Source organism: Homo sapiens, chromosome 17, assembly GCF_000001405.40.
Source record: "Homo sapiens chromosome 17, GRCh38.p14 Primary Assembly".
NCBI lineage: Eukaryota > Metazoa > Chordata > Mammalia > Primates > Hominidae > Homo > Homo sapiens.
The window spans coordinates 12,541,704-12,564,569 of NC_000017.11; the positions used below are offsets into that span (position 1 = coordinate 12,541,704).

Consider the following 22,866-nt stretch of genomic DNA (forward strand, 5'->3'; position numbering starts at 1 on the left):
GAATTGCTCTTACATTTTTTCAAAAATCATTTGACTGTATGTAAGTGGGTCTATTTGTGGGCTCTGTATTCTGTTCCAATGATAACTTGTCCATTTTTGTTGTTGTTAATACAACACAGTTCTGATTATAGTCACTTAATAGTCTTGGCCAGGCGCGGTGGCTCATGCCTGTAATCCCAGCACTTTGGAAGGCCGAGGCAGGTGGATCACCTGATGTCAGGAGTTTGAGACCAGCCTGGCCAACATGATGAAACCCTGTCTCTACTAAAAAATACAAAAAATTAGCCAGGTGTGGTGGTGGGTGCCTGTAATTCCAGCTACTCGGGAGGCTGAGGCAGGAGAATCACTTGAACCCTGGAGGCAGAGGTTGCAGTGAGCTGAGATCGTGTCTCTGCACTCCAGCCTGGACAACAAGAACAAAACTCCATCTCAAAAAAAAAAAAAAAAAAAAAAGTAAGTCTTGAAGTTAGGTGGAATAGGTGCTCCAACTGTGTTTTATTTTCACAGTTGTTTCGCATCCCTTTGGCATGCCCATATAAATTTCAAAATTGTCTTGTCGATTTCTACAAAAAAGAATTCTGCTTGGTTCAATCAGTTAGGTTTGGGGCAATTGTTATGTTAATAATATTGAGTTTGCAATCCATGAACACAGCATATTGTTTTTGTTGTTTAGGTTAAATGTAATGTCTCAGCAATAACTTGGTTTTTTTAGACAGCAATCTAACATATCTTTGTTCATTTTATCTCTAGGTACTTTATATTTGGGGATGTTTTGTAATTGGTTGTATTAGGCCATTTTTGCATTGCTATTAAAAAATACCTGAGGCTGGGTAATTTGTGAAGAAAAGATGTTTCATTGGCTAATGGTTCTGCAGGCTGTATAGGAAGCTAGTGCCAGCATCTGCTCCTGGTGAGGCCTCAAGAAGCTTCCAATCATGGCAGAAGGTGATGGGGAGCCAGTGTGTCATATGGAGAGTGAGAACAAGAGAGATGGGGTGATACACACTTTTAAACAATCGTATCTCTTGTGAACTCACAGCAAGAGCACACTCATTACCATAGGGAGGGCACCAAGTCATTCGTGAGGGGCCCGCCCCCATGACCCAAACACCTCTCACCAGGCTCCACCTCCAACATTAAGTGTTATATTTCTGCTGGGTGCAGTGGTTCATGCCTGTAGTCCCGGCACTTTGGGAAGCCGAGACGGGCAGATCACGAGGTCAGGAGATCGAGATCATCCTGGCTAACACGGTGAAACCCCGTCTCTACTAAAAATACAAAAAATTAGCCGGGCGTGGTGGCGGGCACCTGTAGTCCCAGCTACCCGGGAGGCTGAGGCAGGAGAATGGCGTGAACCCGGGAGGTGGAGCTTGCAGTGAGCCCAGATCATGCCACTGAACTCCAGCCTGGGGGACAGAGGGAGACTCCATCTCAAAAAAACAAAACAAAACAAAACAAAACACCAAAAACAAACAAACAAAAAGAAAACAAAACAGAAATTAGCCGGGCGTGGTGGTGTGTGCCTGTAATCCCAGCTACAATGGAGGCCGAGGCAGGAGAATTGCTTGAACTCGGGAGGCAGAGGCTTGCAGTGAGCCGAGATCGCACCACTGCACTTCAGCCTGGCAACAGAGTGAGACTCCGTCTCAAAAAAAAAAAAAAGGGTTATGTTTCAAAATGAGACTTGGAGAGGATACATATCCAAACCATATCAATGGTATTTTAGTAAATTTTTAAAATTCTGAATAGTTTTAGATTTATAGAAAAGTCGCAAAGGTAATACAGAGTTCTCCCATACCCCTCATCCAATTTCCCTTATTGCTAATGTCCTACATTATCATGGCATATTTGCAACAATCAAGAAAGCAACACTGGTACATTACCGAAAACTACATTCCACACTTTATTCAGATTTCACTATTTTTTTCCAGTAATGTCTTTTTTCTGCTCCAGGATACCACATGACATTTTGTCATTGTGTCTCCCCTCTCTCCTCTTGTCTCTGACAATTTCTCAGTCTTTCCGTTTTTTTTTAAATGACATTGACAGTTTTGATGAGTCCTGGTCAGGTATGTTGTAAAATTTTCCTCAATTTTCTCACCATTAGACTGGGATTATGGGCTTTGGGGAAGGCTGCCATAGAGAGGAAGTGCCTTTCCTATCATATCATATCAAAAGTTCATGCTACCAACTGATGACGTTAACATTGAGCCTCTGGCCAAGGCAGCGTTTGTCGCGTCTCTCCACTGCGGAGTTACCGTTCTTCATCCCTCTTCATATGCTACTCTTTGGAAGCCTGTCACCTCCTGGAGAGAGCAATATTTACATCAATTATTTGTTGGCCAGGTGCGGTGGCTCACACCTGTAATCCCAACACTTTGGGAGGCTGAGGAGGGTGGATCACCTGAGTTCGGGAGTTCGAGACCAGCCTGACCAAAATGGAGAAACCCTGTCTCTACTAAAAATACAAAATTAGCTGGGCGTGGTGGCACATGCCTGTAATCTCAGCTACTCAGGAGGCTGAGGCAGGAGAATTGCTTGAACTCAGGAGGCGGAGGTTGCGGTGAGCCGAGATTGTGCAATTGCACTCTAGCCTGGGCAACAAGAGCAAAACTCTGTCACAAAAAAAAAAAAAAATTATATGTTATTCTTCTGTAAGGGAAGACTTGTCTTTATTTTTATTTTTATAATAAAATGCTACATTATTTATTTTGTTGCTCAGCTTGTTCCAGCTTCAGCCATTGGGAGCTCTTTCAGGTTGGCTTGTAAGTCCCTTTGACATGCATGCCCCCCATCAGTTTGATTTTTGAGCATTTTCTTACTTTCTCACCCTACAGGATACTCCAGGCTCATTTTTGTATGCTTGTTGCACCAGTCCTGGAACCAGCCATTTCCCCAAGGAGCCCTGATTTCTTGATTGGAGAATAGTAACTGAGATCAGGGTACTTGGCAGGCTTATTGTTACACAGGTGTTACTGCTTCTAGGCTTCTAGACCTAAGAACTGCCTGAGTATACACATGTACCATAAGGAGTTCTATATGTATGTATTACATATATATAAACCTAAACCTGACTTCATGCTGATGTCTCTCATCTAGGACAAACTGTTTCATCCTAGCTTCCTACCTTTGCTTTTCTATAACTTTCCTCTTGAACAGCAAGAAAACTGGCTACTGTCCTCCACCATCCATTTACTTATTTACTTGTCAAACCTGCTATGCATGGAACACAGTTCTGGAATTGTTAGCCAGTAATCCCAGGAGAAACAACATTACCAACTAGAATACATTGTATAGGTACAGCTGCTTTTGTGTTTAGCCTTCAAGTTTTCAGTCAAAATGCTGTTTTCCAAAGTTACTTAGTTCAATCCTTCCCTCCCTCACCCATATCCTGCAGTGAGGTTGTGTCGTACATTGTAACACAGTTAGATTCTTCTGTCACATTCTACATTCTTTTCTGGGGTCCCCTAACATCCTGTGGCTTTATTATTTATTTTTTTACTTTGCATACATTGAAATTCACATTTTGTGCTATAAAGTTTTATGGATCTCGACAAGTGCACAGTCATTAATCCTCTCCTACTTTGCCACACATAATGGTTCTATCACCCTAAAAATTCCCTTCTGCAGCCTCTTTGTAATCAACTACTCCTCCTTCCCCAAGCCCTGACAATTACTGATATAGGGTTTTCCATTCCTTGACAATTACTGATACAGGATTTTCCATTCTATAGCTTTGCCTTTTCCAGAACATCATATGAATGAAATAATACAATATGTAGCTTTTTAAATCTGGCTTGTTTCCCTTTTGCACACACCAGAGAAGTAGACATATTTTTGAATACATCATATTTTTATGGATGAGTAGCCCTGCAGGAGGATTAAATAAATTAATAGACTTTGTTTAAAAAAAAAGTGTTAAATGCAAATAAAGTCCAGTCACTGGCTGCAGTGCTCTGGCTGGCAGCTACGCAGAGCAGAGTAAAACACCTGGGACTATTGGGTAAATATGTGAATTGTGGAAAAGAATCACTACCACTTAAGTAGCTCTGTTATCTTCGCTAATTTTCTCCCACTCACTAAACAATTGTGGAAGAGTTTGTTAGGGGAGAATGAGCTTTCTTTGGGCATCAGTGCGGTCCGTTTTGCAATAGCATTCAATTGGTTTCTCACTTGCTTCTTTCTCGCTTCTGGGAAAATGTGGCCATAGAGCTTATTTTCCTTTTGCATCTGTCTCAGTTATTTTTCATGGATGTTGCCCGCCATCCTACTCCATGAGTGTCTCCAGCTAACACCCGCCCCCGTGCACCAGTCATGCCCTCTTGCCTCTCAGCTCCATACCCATCCTTCTGCAGCCTACGCCCTCATCTGCTGACTTCTTACGTTCTGCCAATAGGTGGTGCTAGAGAGAGAATGGACTCCTACTTTTCGAATTTAGTGTTGCTCAGAGAGAGGCAGCTGCCTGGAACTGGGCTTTTCTGGAGCTTCCAGAACCTTCTATGTCCTGTAGAGCCGCCATCAGCAGTGGCTATGCCCCTTCCTCAGAGATCTGAGCACCATTGCCTCAACAACTTGCATCTTTTTTCTTTTGTTGCGTCAGCTCAGGGGTAGTAGCAAATTTCATATCTAATTCCTGGGACAGAAGAAATGACAGGGCCAATAATTTATAAATGATGTAGGGATGCATGCATGTATGTACAAATTAATATATGCCTATTTATTTTCTTAAAGTTTGCCCTGTTTTCAGAGAAGGAAATTGAGGTAGTTTATAAGGATAGTCATTTATCATATACTGCTTAATAGCATATAATTTTATTTGTGGAAATGACTGTTTGGTTATTAAAGGAAACTGAATAACCAAACTTCCTCAGTATTCCTTTTGTGCTTCCAGTCTACCAACACCTGAGGAATCATTCTTGTATTAAATCCTGCGTGTTCGAAATTCCCGATATCGTTTCTCTTTCTCTCACTGTATCCTGACTGACAAAACCAGTTAAAAGTCCAGTCTTCCCACCCCATTCTTGTGGCATCTTACTCCTTTAGAAGATTTCTCATTCAGGCCAGGTGCGGGGGCTCACACCTGTAATCCCAGCACTTTGGAAGGCCGAGGCAAGCAGATCATCTGAGCTCAGGAGTTCAAGACCAACCTGGCCAACATGGTGAAACCCCATCTCTACTAAAAATACACCAATTAGCTGGGCGTGGTGGCGTGTGCCTGTAATCCCAGCTACTCAGGAGGCTGAGGCAGGAGAATCACTTGAACTCGAGAGGTGGAGGTTGCAGTGAGCCGAGACTGTGCCATTGCACTCCAGCCTGGGCAACAAGAGCTAGACTCTGTTTCAAAATAAAAATAAAAATAAAAATAAAAAAAGTGAAGAAGATATCTCATTCAGCGCTTCACATGATTCTCTTTTTTGAAGAAAACCTCCTGTAGATGTCAGGACATTTTATAAAGACTTTAATATCTATACTTTACAATAGGGGGAGCATGTTTACTGCTCTCAGGAGCATCCCACAAATGGAAGGCAGTGCTTTTATTATTCTGAGATGAAGTTTCAATTTCCTTTAATGACCAAACTCTGTCATTTCCACAAATAAAATTATATACTATTAACCAGTACATGATAAATGAGTATCCTTGTTAACTACCTCAATTTCCTTCTGTGAAAACAGGACAAACTATAAGCAAATAAATAGACATATATTAATTTCTGCATACCTGCATGCATTCCTACATCGTTTACAAATGATTGGCTTCGCCATTTCTTCTGTCCCAGGAATATGTAATTTGGTTTTTTTACACACGTAAAACCAGCAAATAAACAAAAGAAAATTGAAAACAATAGTAACGAGGAGAGTATTTACATTTTCAGCTACTCCATTCCCCAGTGTGCTTGGGGTCTAGAGCTCTAGGTTATCACCATTTTACACATGAGGCTTAAACAACAGATTCAAAGAAATTAGTGACTTGGCTCATTTATCCAGCTAGTAAGTAGCAGCTCAGCCGGCCTCACTATCCATGATTGTACGCACCATTTTCCTAAAGCCTAACCGTCCTCCTACTTCCCAGGTCCCTGACGGTAGGCAGTATCCTTGAAAGAATGCGGCTGTCCCTGTCAACCTGGATGGAGAGTTCAGCCCCTGGCTTGGGAAGTTAGGCCTCTGACCATGAGTTTTACTCTCCCTCCTTTAACTTTTCCCTCCCGTGAAGAAGAAAGTTATTTTCAAACCTCCATCTGTTTTGTGTTTAACGTGCAGAAAGGTTGCACATTTTCAGTCAGGGACCTTGTTCATAAGCAGTAGATCGTACAACAGTTTATTACACAAGTGGAGATTTTTATGGCTGGCCTTTGTTGAGTTGCCAACTGGGAGAAAGAACATAACGTGCTTAGTGGTCCCTATCAGGAAAAATGAGAAAGCATTAAATACCAGTCAAATCGTCAAGCATTGGAAAGCTGGTAATCAAATCCAGAAATCCCTGGAGTATGGTTGATGAGGAGGGTTTTCTCATCACATTTTTTACATCCATAATTGTTTTCCAAGTCACTTGTGTCACAGGCAGTATCCCAAAGCATTATGTGAGAAGTGCCTCAATGGTGGAATAAACGTTTGACCTAGAAAGACTCACGTCCACTTTGAAATCTGGCCCTGGTCAATGCAGGGCATGAAACTGGCACCCCAGGAAGAGCTTTATATATTTTTAATTACATTATCATGTTGAGGACATCAGCTACATAGAAACTTGCTCAAGACTTACTAGGCTTCTTTCCATACCCAGGCCATATTCTCTGTATTCCTAGGAGGGAATGTAATTTACTGGTGGTTTGTCCCCAGCCATGAGACAGAGGGTAGAAAACTCCACAAAGCATCCTAGTAAACATTGCATCTGAACAATTCCAACTGTAACCAGCCAATGCCAATGGTAATGGATCACTCTTGCCCCTTCCTTTTTAATTTTCCCAAAAGCTCAGACCATCACAGAGGCTGCCCAATAAAAGTCGGTAGAGACCTCAGAAACATTCCAGTCTTCCAGCAGTTCTCAGCCCAGGCTGCACGTCAGAGTCCCTGGGGGAGCCTCATCCCAGCCTAATTAAATAAAATCTCTTGGAGTGGGCGAGGACATTGGTACATTCTCCAGGTGACCCTAATATGCTGCCTGGATTAGAAATCACGGGTCTAGTCTAGCTACCTAATTTTACTGGTGGAGGAAATTGAGCCTGGAGAAGTTACTGTCCACAATACTTGATTCACAGTGCCTTGGTTCTTTCCCAGGGAGGCGTTTTCTCACAATCACGCTGTAACTCCATAACTTCATGTCTCACATCTCCTAACTCTGTGTTTATAAAAGCGACGCATTCAAACCTAACCCAGTCCGCTTTTTGCTTGTGCACAAATACCGTGCAGTAGCTTGTATGAGCAGTACCAGCAGCTCTGTGTTCCCCAAGGTATATGAAGAATAATGTCAGGACTGTGGAGAAAATGCAGGTAAAGAACCCACTTTTTTCTCCAGATGGTCCATGGAGAAGGGATTTAAGAAGTGGTCCTTAAACATGAAGGAGATTCAACTTCATTTTTCTTATTAGTCCCTTATTAAATCCTTCTCTGTTTGTGTTTGAAAAAACAGCTGTGTGTTGTGTGTTTGAAAAAACAGTCCTACTTTATTCCTGATGTCAATGTTAATGGTCTCCCCATCAAGTCCCAAAATGTTCTAAGATGGTTATTAAATTTTATGATCACCCTACTCTAGATGAGTCCCACCAAAAGTGTCACACTTGCTGTTATTGAAAGATCCTTCCTTTTTCAGGCTGAGAATCTCAAGCCTTTTTCCAACCCACAGGCCACGTTCTAATTGCTTTCTTCCTGGGAGTCTGATAAACAGTGTTCTCGATCTGATAGACAGCTAATACCCCGGGGGGACATTGCTCGGTAGCCTTGGACTTCTCAGCTTAATCGCCCTAGCTTTAATGCCACTTAAATCAGAATGTAAGCACTGAAAGAATTTCAGGAATCCAATGATATAAATTGTATTTTTAGAGCCGTGAATGACTTGAGCGAGTGAAACAGTGCAGTGGCTTAAGATAGTTCTCTTTAGTTTTCCCATGATTTATCACAAGCAAGTTCACAGCAGGTTAAAATAATTGAATGCGGTGATAGCATACATACTGGCATGATTTTATGAGCCGTCATTCATAACATATTTGTCCCAAAGCATAATTTCCATGATAGAACTCTGATTCACATGTAATTTTTTTGCAGCGACGACACAGTTGAAATAACTCCTTCGTGGAGGCTGGCTACATTTTCACAACGTCTGGTCCCAAGCTAGATCTTCGGGAAAAGGGATCAAGGAAATGACTATTCCTCCAAATAAAATGTAAGTATATCCTGATAAAATGTTCACTTTTTTGGAGAATAAAGAGAAATGTTCTTTCCGGGAGAATTGTGACTCGGAGGTTATGCCTTGCGATCTCTACCTATTTCTCACTACTTCTTTTATTTTTCTTTTTCCTTCATTGTTTATTTTCCACTTTTCTCCTAATGTACTTTTTCTTCTACTTATTAGCTGTGTCCCCTGGGCAAGTAATTTTTCCACTCTGTAATCAAATGCTATAATATGGGGATGATAAAAAATAACTCCACAGGTCATTGTGCAGAATAGAGATAATGAATGTGTGGGTACATATGTGCCCCAAAACTCAGCTGTGTAAGAAAAGCAACTTTCTTTTTATATTTTTATAACTCGACTTAGTTTCTATTTTGAATCCCTATTTGGCTTCATCGTGGAGATGTAATCTCAGTCAAAGCAAGATGCTCTCATCAAAACCTACATGACATCTACATGGATGTCAGATCCATGTAGCTTTCCACCTTCAGCCCTGCCTGGATGTTCCACCATTGCCCTGCCGGTTAGCCAGGCTGCAGGCAGGTGCTACACGCTAGGACTCCTTCCTGGGAACTCAACCATCACGTCAGGTTTCTTGGCTTCCCTGGATCTCCTTCTCAAATTTGAAAAGTCTTGTCTGGTCTGGAGAAAAAGTTTCCCAGCTTTTCATTTAATCTTCCAAATCTTTAGTTTATGACCAGAACCTGCCATTTGAGACTCAAAAGCTAAAAATATGACTCCTCTGTTATCTTTGTTTCACTGGTTTTCCCTTCCCTGAAGCTTTACAGAAGGCCTAGCTGCCTAATGGGGAGAAACACGGGAAATACCAAGGAAAACATATGGGCAAATATCTCCCAAGAATTTCCCACCACTTGTATGAAGCACCAAGAGGAAGGCCTGACATACAGTAGGAAGCCAGCAAAGGTGACTGCACCTTTATATGAAGGTTCCAAGTCTGGTTCCATGTTTCTGGGCTCTGTGTCCTTGGACAAGTTGTCTTTCTGTGCCTCAGTTTCCCCACCTGCAACATGGAGATGATAATAGTACTTACCTCACAAGGTAATATGTGTATAAAGTGTTCAATGAATTAGTTACACTATTATTGTTTTTTTTACCACTAGTACAAACTTCTGTCCTTGAAAGCCATTAGCTTAATACTATCGGCAACCATAATAGTGTTGATGCAGTTGACACATAGAGTGCATCCCACAGAGGAGAAGGTAAACATATCACAGGGAAAGAGGGAGCTACTGGTCCCAAGTATGAAACTGGGATGAGTTTCCTGGAAATGCATCCTTCTGGGTAAAATCTGGGTATAATGATGCTGAGTGGTGAGTTAAGAAGCAATCAGCCAACTTCAGTCAAGGCAGTTCTCAGGTGCTAGCAAGGAGAGGCAGATTCTTGAGGATCTAGAGTCTGAATCAGAAGATGGATCCAAGCTTGTAACCCAGGGGACAAAATGGAGTCAGAAGAAAGGGATGAGGAGCAAAGTTAGAGAAAGGCAGGCTAAGCCAATGTGAGAAATAGATCTGGTTGACGATGGCCAGCAGTTGTTGGAGAACAGAATACGCGTGGGGCCTCTCCTGAGATGTGAGGCCACTGAGGGGTTTTGCTGAGGGAGATACCACTTCTGTGAGCAAGGACAATGAGAGGAAACTGCGGGAGAGAGAATGGTCCACCAGTCCCAAGCTAAATAAACCTTTTTCTCTGGCCCATCCAGCTGATGAGCATGAGAATGAGAATGTGGGACCTCCACCCCTGCACCTGCCTACCCTCCAGTCCCAGAGCCAGTTTGGTCTATGTCTTTCTCAACCCACATTCTGCCAGGACAATTGAGCCCGAATGGGACAGTGGAAAGGGCATCGCATGGGAAGTCAGGAGACCTGAACTCCAGACCCAATCAATGACCAACTAGCCTGAGACTTTAGACATATTCCTTCACCTCTCTGAACCTTAGGGCCCTCAATGAGGAGGTAGGACCACATAAGAACAGAGCTAAATGGGCATAGTTAGCGGTATGGGAGCCAGAGGGCCAGTGATATGAATTCTGTCTTTGCCATTTACCAGATGTAGGTCAACTAATTTAATCTCTCTAAACTCCAGTGTCTTCATGTATAAAGATGGGGCTAATAGCACACCCCTCACCTGATTAATTGGAAGATGAAATTCAAGAGTGTCTGGGACATGTTTAGTAGTGTTGTGAAACACTATGCATACTCAATTGATTGTTGCCAATATCACTATCACGATTATCAGTGGAACCCAAGATCTCTATTAGGTCAGGGGCAACTAAGATAGTTGAGTGGGAGAATTCAAGACTGCAGACCCTGCTTCATTAGGAAGAGCAGAAGCGTTTTTCTCTGTTTTATTTATCTCTCTCTCTCTCTTTTTTAACAAAATTAAGTATTTCTCACTGAATAATAATAATAATGTTATAAATCACTGGACTAGGCCAAGGGTTGGCAAACTTTTTTTTTTTTGTAAAGGACCAACTAGCAAATATTTTCAGGTTTGCAGGCCACACGTGGTTGTCCACTGCATATTCTTCCGGTTTTATTAGAATTAGGGTTGAGTTAGGCTTAGATAGAGAATAACAGCATCTATTAGGGTAGAATAGTATTATGGTAACTATTATAACACAAAACCCTTACCTGTGTGTAACAGAAATCTCAGTGCCTAAACAATCAAAACGTATTTCTCACATCACAGTAAAGTGTGAGTAGGGGGTTAGGTTGTCTATGCCACATAATCTTTTGGGGATCTAAAAATCCTTCCTTCTAGTGGCTCTGGAAACCTCTGGATAGAAGGAAAAAAGAGATGGGCCCACATTCAAGAACATTTCAAAAATGTAAAAGCTATTCTTAGCTCAGGGTCTGTACAATCATGCCCCGTCAGCCGCTTTTGGCCTACGGGCCCTAGTTTGCCCACTCCCGGATCAGACCATCTCTCAGGTCCTTTCCAAAGATGAACCAAACTTCACTGTGAGCAATCTCTTTCTTTCTCCATCAAAGTAACCTGGCAGTGAACTCTATAACATCTCCCACTATCTTTCATGTGATAATATTTTTCATATTTACAACAGTTGTCATATTAAGTGTTTTTGTTACATTTTATGTGTAATGTTACACAGAGTTCCTTTGTGAACAGTTTTCGTAAAGGTGGTGTATTAATTTTCAAGGGCTGCTGTGAGGCAGTATCACTAATTGGGTGGCTTAAAACAGCAGAAATTAGCCGGGCACGGTGGCTCATGCCTGTAATCCGAGCACTTTGGGAGGCTGAGGCAGGCGGATCACGAGGTCAGGAGATCTAGACCATCCTGGCTAACACTGCGAAACCCCGTCTCTACTAAAAATACAAAAAATTAGCCGGGCGCAGTGGCGGGCGCCTGTAGTCCCAGCTACTCGGGAGGCTGAGGCAGGAGAATGGCGTGAACCTGGGAGGCGGAGCTTGCAGTGAGCCGAGATTGCGCCACTGCACTCCAGCCTGTGCCAGAGAGCAAGACTCGGTCTCAAAAAAAAGCAGAAATTTGTTTCTTCACAGTCTGGAGGCCAGAAGGCTGCATTCAGTGTTTGAAGGGTTGATTCTTTCTGAGGGAGAATCTGATCCATGCCTTCCTCCAGCTTCTGGGGATGACCAGGACTCCTTGATGCCCCTTGGCTTGCAGACACATCACTCGGGTCTCTGCCTCCATCTTCACACTGCATTCTCACTATGTCTCTGTCTTCACAAAGCCCCTTGGATTGGGGCCCACACTGATGATGTCATCTTAACTTGGTTAAATTTCCCAAGACCCTATTTCCAAATAAAGTCACATGCACAGGTACTGGGGCTTAGAACTTCTATCAGTCTCCTTGATGGACACGATTCGGCTTATAACAGGTGGTGAAAAGCATGGGGTTGCCTATTCATAACTAAGAACTGTTAAATATTAGAAATGGAAAGGACTGTTGGTTCCCCTGTGCTGCTGCAGGGATGAGTAAGATTGATGGCGTGTCCAAACAGCTTAAGTTTTACCCTTCACTGTAAATGGCAGAGAGAACAGTACTACTGCTGCTGCTACCTTGAAGAATGTAAAATTTGCCTTTTAAAAGTGTTTTTGTTTTATGGACATGGAACAATGAACTAGAAAATATGGCACATTCTGTACCCTTCTTCTGCTTTTAACTTATAAATGCTGTATTCAAAATACTGGAACCGTGTGGCTTGCGGTTACTAACAAAATTAAAAATAAAAGCAAAAAGCCCCTTCGCATCCATGTCACCCACTGAGGGAAATGCAGCTTGGTGCCCTGGAGAAGAAATGGACTTTCTGGTGAATTCTCACCCCTTTCTGCAGGGGTCAGGATTTGAAAATTACTACCAGCTGGTTGTAATTCCATCCTATTTTGAAACAGATGACTTAGACTGCTAAACCATCATGGGGCTAAGATTTATTTTCCCCTACTTGGACTAAGTCACAAAGACCCAATTTGCACAGTAGAGAAAAGGAAGAAAATATTTTTTTTTGGTGAGCTCACCTCACCTCTGCCAGTGGAAAACCTACCAATATCTCAGAATTTGCACGAGTGAATTGGGCCATGCCACGCCATCTCTGATATTCCAGAGCAGGAATTGTTTATCTTTTCCAAATTTTCACAGCACTTTCTGTCTCTGCACCTCTTCAGTGGCACTTATTGTGAGACTTATGTCCCTTCCTAAAGTGCAAACTCTCTGAAATCTTAGTAATTACTCAAGGTGGAGAGGAAGGACCCTGTGGACAGGGAGTGACTTGAAATGCTGGAAAGGAAAGAAGAAGCACAGGAGCGAATCCTTCAGGAACCAAGAAGGATGGAACAAGGTTCCAAACTGGAATAGTCTTCCCTGCATAGGAACACCAAGCAATTGGGAATTTCCTGTAAGCTTCACTGGAAGCCAGCTAAGCCTGTAAGGGCTTCTGTTGGAATTCAGCGTCAGGCATAGAACTCTAGTGAATGTGCCTGAAGAAAATCCTATCCAAAGTTTTTGGCATAAGCAAGTCACTTAACTTCTCTATGCCTCAGGGTTCTCATCTATGTGATAGGATTAATCATAGAATCTACCTCATAAAATTGTTGTGGGAATCAACTATCATAATCAATGAAAAGTACTGAGCACCTAGCCAGCCTGGCATACTGTTCCCCAACCTTCCCAAATTTATCCACTAGGAATTGTAATAGAGTAGATTTGAGTTGCAGCCTGGGAGTCCATGTGTTCAGCAAGCATAGTTAAGAAGTTCTTGTTTTCAGGCAAATTCGGGAAGCAATGCTGTAGCAATAGTAATAGCTCAATAAAGAGTAGTTATTTTTATTATGCTACCTTCATCATCATTAACTTATCATTATCATCATCATCACCACCACCACCACCAGGAATTGAAGATAATGTTAGGGAAAAGATTCAGCAACAATAACAGATTCTATAAGCATCATTGAATCAGTTATCTTGACTTTGGTCTGATACGAAGTTATTTTCACTGTTTGTAGAACCAGTAGACAGGTAACCAACTCCAACTCACTCCCGATTTGAATCTCAAGGCGATTATTTCCATTTTACTCTTATTTAGGTGAGGAGGGATCTTAACTTAGAACAAGAACTTGGGCCTTGCTCAATAAATTCAGTGGCTATAAATCTAATCCATGATTCATTTCCATTTTTACCCTGGGGATGAACACAGAGGAGTCTACGCAGTGCTAATTACCACGTTTTGACTGGGGCACCCCAAAGAAGGAAAGAATCACAGGACCACTCCTTAAAGGGACTGAAAAATCTCATTGTCCAGTACTTTCACGTAGGGGCTTCTGCCCCTTTTAACTACTGAAACTACCATGTATCCATTCTTAGACAGCCAGGGCAATGCTTTTTATAAACTCCTATCTGTATCTGATTGCTTTAATGGTTCTCAAAACTCCTTACGATCAGTTACACTTATTTTATTTTCTATTTTATGCGATGTTGTTTTCTTGTTTTTTTTTCCCCCAATCCTTACACCTGACTCCTACGAAGAAGAAACCAAATCGTGTTATTCATTGTACTTACTCCAGTGTCTAGCATAGACTTTCTTTCTAGTATCAGTGAAAAGATTCAATTGTATCCAACTATAAGGTGTCTTAATTTAAACTTCTTTATTTTGAGTGTACCTGCCTAAAGCACCTGACTGTTGTTTTTCTACTTCTTTACATATTTGTTGTTAAAATAATAACAACAGTAGATTGCTCTAAGGGGATGCTACATTAAGATGGCATCTAGTCCAAAGGGCCTTTAAATAATTGAATTTCCTTCATCTCAGGGGTGCCATCTTTTAAGGGGAAAAAATGAATAGGGAACAGTGGCGAGGAAAAACAAAGCAACTATTTTTAGCTTGTCCTCTGGCCCAAAATATTTATCTAGAGCTCCCAGAAGCTGGGCTGGATTATGTAAAATGCTTTACCTAGCCCCAGCTACCATATGTCTTACCACCAAAGCACAACCTAAGGTCTCAAAACTTGCTACTCCCGTTAAGTAAAAATTACATTCTGTAGTGCCAAAGAAAAAGCCCCCAGAAAGACAGAGAATAACAGTGTCTTTTACTTAGGATAGGGCGGCTCTATATCAAAGAGTTACAGCTAAGCAGGATTAAGGCTGATTTCTCACATCAAAATACGATGTATGAGTTGGTAGAAGAGGACTCTTCTCCATGCAGTGTTTCAGGGATCTATAATTCTTCTAGTGACTCCCCCATCTTTTAAGGTTCTGGAGGCCACCCATGAATGGAAGGAAAGATGTATCATGGAGCAATGCTGGGGTTGAGATAGTATAGATCACTTGAGACCACATTCAAGAATCCAGCCACAGGACAACCCTTTGTTATAAGAGAGGCACCTCGCTATGTGCACAGGAGAGAAAGAGAAGTGTCTTGGAGAACTCTTAGCCAGTCTCTGTTACAGACAGTGAGTACATGTGCCCCAAACCTATAGAGTAGCTGACCCAACCACGTACTCAAGGTTGTTGTAGAAAGTGTGGTGTCTGCAAAAGGGAAAATAAAAGGCAGTGTTTGGAAGAAGACAGAGAAAACGGATTCCCACACATCCTGAACTTTCAGTCCTAGTAAAAGTGGCCAACCCCAGTATTCTGGGATCTGAATTATTAGATCAATATTCTATTTTTTCAAAAGAGTAACAGAATTAAGAGCTTGTGGGTATGGGGCAGATAAGTCCTTTCTTCAGCTAGCAGAAAATGCTTGGTTTCCCTCAAAATCTGTGTTCTTAATGTAATTTCTCCCTATTTCTAATTTGGCTTCCCATTGAATACTCAGGCACAGTTCTAGAAGCGAGAAATATTATCTATGGTATATATACCATCATAATAAAACTATGGGTTTTCAAAGTACAATTTTGTTATTTTCTTCCCTAGGGACTATGTCTTCAATTCAGATAATGTGTCACCAGGTGGACGATAATGGTGACAGTTGATAGCCAGCATCTACCTTTATTTTATGCCAGAAACTATTCTAGACATTTTACAGTTACCTACTTCATTCCTCTAACAACCTATAAGGTAGGCCTTATTACTATTTTCTGCAGCTTACAGCTTTGGAAATTGAAACACAAGGTTAGGTAACTTGTCCAAGGTCACACAGTCATCACTGGGGCCAGAATTCCAACCAAAAAAAGAACTAGGTCTTAACCACTGCATTCAACCACTTTGGTGCCAAAAGCTGAACATCCCCTAAGAGTATTTAAGAAAGGAACATAGACAATCGTGATTTTGTACTCAATTATTTTTTTCTATCAAAAATAGAGCTTTTGAGTTTATCTAATCAGCAAAGCATAACACTAGTGTTACCATAGCATTACATTTTTAAAAGTTTAGAGCAAGATATACAAATCTAATTTTCTAGATACAAGTAATCACCTTTCCCACCAATCCTAACAAGAAATCTTAATCCTTTCCTTCTGTAGTTTATACTGATTTAAAACAAGAACTTTTTGTTCCTTTTATTTCCTATTTATGGTACTTTTTAATTCTTTCATTCCTTAGACGTTTACTTCATGAAACTTATAGCATTACATTTCTGAAAATCACAGAAAAGAATTTAACTCCTTTATTTCTACTTTCTATCAATAACCTCTTAAATATGGAATACCCTATAAAATTTTTTCTTCCGCAGGAAAAAAATAATCAGAGCACATTCAAATGCCTTGCATATTTTCATTATTTTCCTTTCATTCAGAAGAATTTCCTCCATTGATCAGTTGCTTTACTTCATTATGTCTCTATGTCATTTGAGACCTAAAGCTCCCATGTTTCCTGTTCGTTATTTGCCATTGCACTAGTGAGGACATGCAGTGTACTGCGAAAGGAAGAGGACATCACTTTCCTTACTCCAGATCTTCTGGGAAAAGCATTAAGTGTTTCAACCATTACTTATTATGTTAGTTTAGTGAATTTTTTTAGATGTTCTTTATCAGACTGAGAAAGTTCTTTTCTGTTCCTAGCTTGCCGATAGTTAATATCATGAAGGGATGTCGAATTTTGTTAAATGGCTTTTCTATATCAATTGAAATGATCATATGATTTTCCTTCTTGAGACTGCTATTGTGGTGGATTACATTGACTGATTTTTGAATATCGACTTATACTTACATTTCCAAGATAAACTTCATATAGTTGCAGTGCATTCTTTATTTTTTTACACATTGTTGAACAAATCCGCTTTTTTAAAAAATTCAGAATTTGTGCATCTATGCTTATGAGGGATATTAGTCAATAGTTTCCTTTTTTTTTTTTTTTTTTTTCAGACAGAGTCTCACACTGTCACCTAAGCTGGAGTGGAGTGCAGTGGCACAATCACAGCTCACTGCAGCCTCAACCTCCCAGGCTCAAGCACTCCCCCCACCTCAGCCTCCTGAGTAGCTAGGACTACAAGCACGCACTACCATGCCCAGCTAATTTTTGTAATTTTCGCAGAGACAGAGTTTTGCCATGTTACCCAGGCTGGTGTCAAACTCCTGAGCTCAAGTGACTGTGCAACTCAGCATCCCAAAGTGCTGGGATTAGAGGCATGAGCCACCACGCCTGGCCCAGTCTATAGATTCTCCTTCCTTCCTTCCTTCCTTCCTTCCTTCCTTCCTTCCTTCCTTCCTTCCTCCCTCCCTCCCTCCCTCCCTCCCTCCCTTCTTCCCTCTCTCCCTCCCTCCCTTCCCCACCCGCATTCCTTCCTTCCTTCCTTCCTCTCTTCCTCCCTTCCTCCTTTTCTTCCTTCCTCTCTTTCCTTCTTCTACTTGTCTGGTTTTAGAATCAGAGTTATGATGATCTCATAAATTGAGTTGGGAAGTGTTTTCTCTTCTACATTTTAGAAGAGATATTGTAGAATTGATGTTCTTTTAAAATGTTTAATAAAATTATTCATAAATAACATGGGCCTGGAGAATTTTGTCAGATAGTCTTAAACTGCAAATTCAGTTATAGGGCTATTTAAGTTGTCTATTACATTTTGAGTGAGTTTAGGTAATTTGTGTTTTTCAAGGAATTGATCCCTTTTGCCTAACTTGTCAAAAATGTGTGTATATAATTATTCACAGTATCCCCTATATTCCCCTATTATTATTAAATGCCAGTGGGGTCTGTAGGGATAACCTCTTTCAGTCCTGATACTGGCAATTTATTCTTGCCTTCTTTTTGTCTTTGTCCTTGCTGAAAGTTTATGGATTTTATTGATCTTTTTAAAGAACCAGATTTGGGTTTCTTTGAATTTCTCTATTATTTTTCTGTTTTCAATTTTCTCTATTTCTACCACTATATTATTTATTTTCTTATTTTTGTTTGAGTTTATTTTGCTCTTCTTAAGATGGAAGCTTAGATAACTTGTATAAGGCATCTCTTTTCTAATATAAGCTTTTAATGTTATAAATTTTTCTCTAAGCCCTGCTTTAGTTGTAGCTCACAAATTTTGGTATATTTTATTTTCATTTTTGTTTAATAGAAATTATTTTCTAATTTTTTCTTTTTGACTCAGATTATTTAGAAGCATGTTATTTAATTTCCAAGTGTTTGGATATTTTTCTCTTATGCTTCCTGTTATCCTGTTCCTGATTTCTAGTTTATTTTTATTATGATTCAAGGAAAATACTTTGTCTGATTTTAGATTTTATTTTTTACATAATTCTAACTTTTTGTTAATGTTTCTTTTATGAACAAGATATGGTCTACCTTGACTATTCCATGTACTTCTGAAAAGATTGTGTGTTCCACTGTTATGGGTAGAATGATTTTTTAATACTATTTAGATTTACTTAGTTGATGATCAGCTCAATTCTTCTGTATCCTTGTTGGTTTTTTATAAGTTCTGCATATTACTGAGAGAGGAGTGTTGAACTCTCCAAATATAATTGTGGATTTTTAAAATTTCTCCTTTCACTTTCATGAATTTTGCATCATGTTTTTGAAAGCGTTGTCAGTAGGTACACACATACATTGGATTATTATTTCTTCATGATGAACTGACCCTTATATCATCATATAATGTCTCTCTTTATCCCTGGTCATCTTATTCACTCTGAAATCTATGTCTGATCAGTTTTCTTTTGATCAGTGTTTCCACGGTATACCGTTTCTTTCTTTCTCTCCTTCCTTCCTTTCTTTCTTTCTTTCTTTTTTTGTTTTATGATCTCTGTTTTAATGTTTGGGTTATTTTTATTTTTTTTTATTTTAGTAGGTTTTTGGGGAACAGGTGGTGTTTGGTTACATGGATAAGTTCTTTAGTGGTGATTTCTGAGATTTGATGCACCCATCACCCAGGCAGTGTAAACTGTACCCCACATGCAGTCTTTTATCCCCCTCCCACCATTTCCCCTGAGGCCCCAAAGTCCATTGTATCATCCTGATGCCTTTGCCTCCTCATAGCTTAGCTCCCACTTATGAGTGAGAACATATGATGCTTGGTTTTCCATTCCTGAGTTACCTCACTTAGAATGATGGTCTCCAATTTCATCCAGGTTGCTGTGAATGCTATTATTTTATTTCTTTTTATGGCTGAGTAATATTCCATGGTGTATATATATATACCACATTTTTTTATCCACTTGTTGATTGATGGGCATTTGGGCTGGTTCCATATTTTTGCAACTGCAAATTGTGCTGCTATAAACATGTGTTTGGAAGTATCTTTTTCATATAATGACTTCCTTTCCTCTGGGTAGGTATCTATTAGTGGGATTGCTGGATCATACAGTAGATCTACTTTTAGTTCTTTAAGAAATCTCCACACTCTTTTCCTTACTGGTTGTACTAGTTTACATTCCCACCAACAGTGTAAAAGTGTTCCCTTTTCACCACATGCATGCCAACATATATACATTTTTATTTTTTTATTGTGGCCATTCTTGCAGGAGTGAGATGGTATCACATTTTGGTTTTGATTTGCATTTTCCCTGACTATTAGTAAGTTGAGCATTTTCCATATGCATGTTGGCCATTTGTATCTTTTCTTTTGAAAATTGTCTATTCATGTCCTTAGCCTACTTTTTGATAGAATTGTTTGTTTTTTTCTTGCTGATCTGTTTGAGTTCTTTGTATATTCTGGATATTAGTTCTTTGTTGGATGTGTAGATTGCAAAGATTTTCTCCCATTCTGTGTGTTGTCTGTTAACTCTGCTGATTATTTATTTTGCTGTGCAGCTTTTTAGTTTAATTAAGTCCCATCTATTTATATTTGTTTTTGTTGCATTTGCTTTGGGTTCTTGGTCATGAAGTCTTTGCCTAAGCCAATGTCTAGAAGGGTTTTTCCAATGTTATCTTCTATAATTTTTAAGGTTTCAGGTCTTAGATTTAAGTCTATGGTATGTCTTTTTTATTTATTAAGGCCTAATTTACTTATTATTTTGCAAATGAGTCTTGTAAATAGCATGTCATTGGATCATTCAAAAAATATATTTTGACAATTTCTGTTATTTAGTTTGTATGTTTAGATCATGTACATTTAGTGTAATTCTTTATGTTTAAAGTTAGATCTATTATTTTACTATTTGTTTTCTGTTTAGTCTCTGGTTTTTGTTCCTCTATTTTCTCATTTTCTCTTTCCTATCTTCTTTTGGGTTTTTTTTTTTTTTACATTATTTAGCATTCCATTTTAACTTATCTACTGTATTTTTTACTCTATTTTACACATATATTTCTTTCTTTGTGTGTGTGTGTGTGTGATTACTACATATTTACCTTTTCTCACTGTCCAGTTTTATAGTGGAATGTAAAAACTTTACCATTATGTAGGTCCTTTTATGTTGTAACTGTCTTGTATATTATATCTACATACATTGAATACTCCAGCTGACAATATTGTCATTGTTTTCTTTTAGCCATTTAATATATTTTAAACTCAAGAGGAAAAATAATCTCTTTTATTTATCTAGTTATTTACCATTTCTGTTCCTCTTCTTTTAATCCTTGATATTTTGAAATTTCTTCCTAGTATCTCTTTTCTTCAGTTGCAATGGCTTCATTTAGCAATTTGTTTAGAGTAGATCTCCTGACAATTTTATCTCAACTTTTCTTCATGTAAGAATGTTTTACTTTCACCTTCATTTCTGAAGAAAATTTTTCTGGACCTAGACTTCTTAGTTGATAGTTCTTTTCTTTAACACTTAAAAATTTCCACTACCATTTGGCTTACATAGTTTCTAAAGAGAAATATATTCTTATTTGAATCTTTGTTCCTCTAGTTAGAAGTAGTATGCCATTTTTCTCTGGTTGCTTTCAAGATTTTTTCTTTGTTTTTAGTTTTCAGAAACTTGAGATACCCCTAAGTGCTCATTTCTTTAATTAATTCTGTTTGGGGTTCTCTACACTTATATCTCTAGGTTTATTTCTTTTTTTCCAAACTTGGGAAGTTTTCAGCCATTGCTTCTTCAGTTTTTTTTCCACGCCATACTCCTTCTCCTTCTAGGACTACAATGACATGAACATGAGATTTTCGTTATTGTCCCACAGGCCCTGAGAGTCTGTTCTATTTTTCCAATCTTTTTTTCTCTCTCTCACTCAGCTTAGATTGTGTTTATTGATTTAGCTCTATCTTTTTTTTCTAAGTAAAGGTATCCTTAGATTTCATGAGATGGTGATAAAAATCCCAATTGATAGACAGGCTGATTTTTAAAATTTATATGAAAAGGTGAAGGAACAGGAACTGGAATAACCAAACAGTATTGAAAAAAGAAAACTAAAGTTAAAGAAATTGTTTTTTCAATTTCAAAAATTTTGTTATAAATCTACAGTAATCAAGACAGTAGTATTAGAGAAAAGATAGATACAATGATCAATGCAATAGAATAAAAGTCTAGAAACAGATCCACGCAAATATGGACAAATGATTTTTCACAAAGATGTGAAGACAATTCAACAGAAAAAGGACAGTATTGTCAACAAATGGTGGTGAAACAATTTAGCATTCATATACAAGAAAATAAACGTCTAACTAAATCTCACACCTTATTCAAAAACTAACTGAAAATGTATCATAGATGTGAATGTTAAATGTAAAACTATAAAACTTTTAGAAGAAAACAGAAAAAAAATCTTCATGACTTTTGGTTAGATGAAGAGTTCTTAGATACAACACCAAAACCATAATCCCTAAAAGAAAAAAAATGATATACTGGAATTCATTAAAATTAAAATTTTGCTCTGAGACAGACACTAAGAGATGAATAGACAATCTACAGACTTGAAAAGAATGTTTTAAAATCACATACCTGACAAAGAACTTGTATCCCAACCGTATAAAGAACTCTCAAAATTCAGTAGTAAGAAAACATCTAACTGAAGCAAAACATGGGCAAAATATTTGAATAGACACCTCACCAAAGCGAGTGTACAGAAGGAAGAAATAAGCACATGGGAAGATATTCAACATCATTTGCCATTAGGACAATTCCCACTGGAAACCAGAGCATTTGGATTCAGATGCTTTACCACATTAGAATTTCACTTATGGAGGAAATCATTATTATCAACAGGTATTGAAATATTAAACTTGCGCCATCAGAAAAGTTGTTAACAGAGAGTAGAAACACAAATTCAAAATTGGTTACTCAAAGAGGGAAGAGAGGCTGGTGCTGGCAGCTTCTTTTACTCTGGAGAATAAAGCCCAGAAGGTCTGATTTGGACCCAAGCCAAAACACCTGAAAAACTAGGATTCGGCATCTAAGCAAGTGCACTAGTACTAGTCAAAGAGCTCTTCCAACAAAAATCAATTTTATTATAAAATTCTGTCACCTTCTAAAACCAAGTTCTCGGGAGATGTCTTCTAGGGTCTCACAGGATAGGTGACTTGAGCTACACATACATAGGAGCAAATAGATGCAGCTATCTGAAGGAGGCAACCAACTGACAAATGGAGACCCCTATAAACTCTGACACATCAATTGCATGGCTGAGAATCCAGGTATAGAAAGTTGGAAAAAAGAAAAAAGTAGACGCAAGAGAGCTTGTGATTTG

The 22,866-nt window shown here is 39.2% G+C and overlaps 1 long non-coding RNA gene across 2 annotated transcripts in view, besides 1 other annotated feature; it reads left to right on the forward strand.

Annotated features, from left to right (window-relative positions):
- Positions 4,229-4,523: a silencer, noted in NCBI's record as "tiled region #9419; HepG2 Repressive non-DNase unmatched - State 12:CtcfO, and K562 Repressive non-DNase unmatched - State 13:Ctcf". NCBI's record gives its function as "represses a minimal TATA promoter and a strong SV40 promoter by Sharpr-MPRA in HepG2 and K562 cells {active_cell/tissue: HepG2 | K562}" and the evidence as "EXISTENCE:reporter gene assay evidence [ECO:0000049][PMID:27701403]".
- LINC00670 (long intergenic non-protein coding RNA 670) overlaps positions 8,265-22,866 on the forward strand; it is an 87,220-nt gene continuing 72,618 nt past the window's right edge. For both annotated transcript variants that reach the window (NR_034145.1, NR_034144.1), the window contains exon 1: positions 8,265-8,374. This is a non-coding gene — a long non-coding RNA (long intergenic non-protein coding RNA 670). The remainder of the gene's footprint in view (positions 8,375-22,866) is intronic.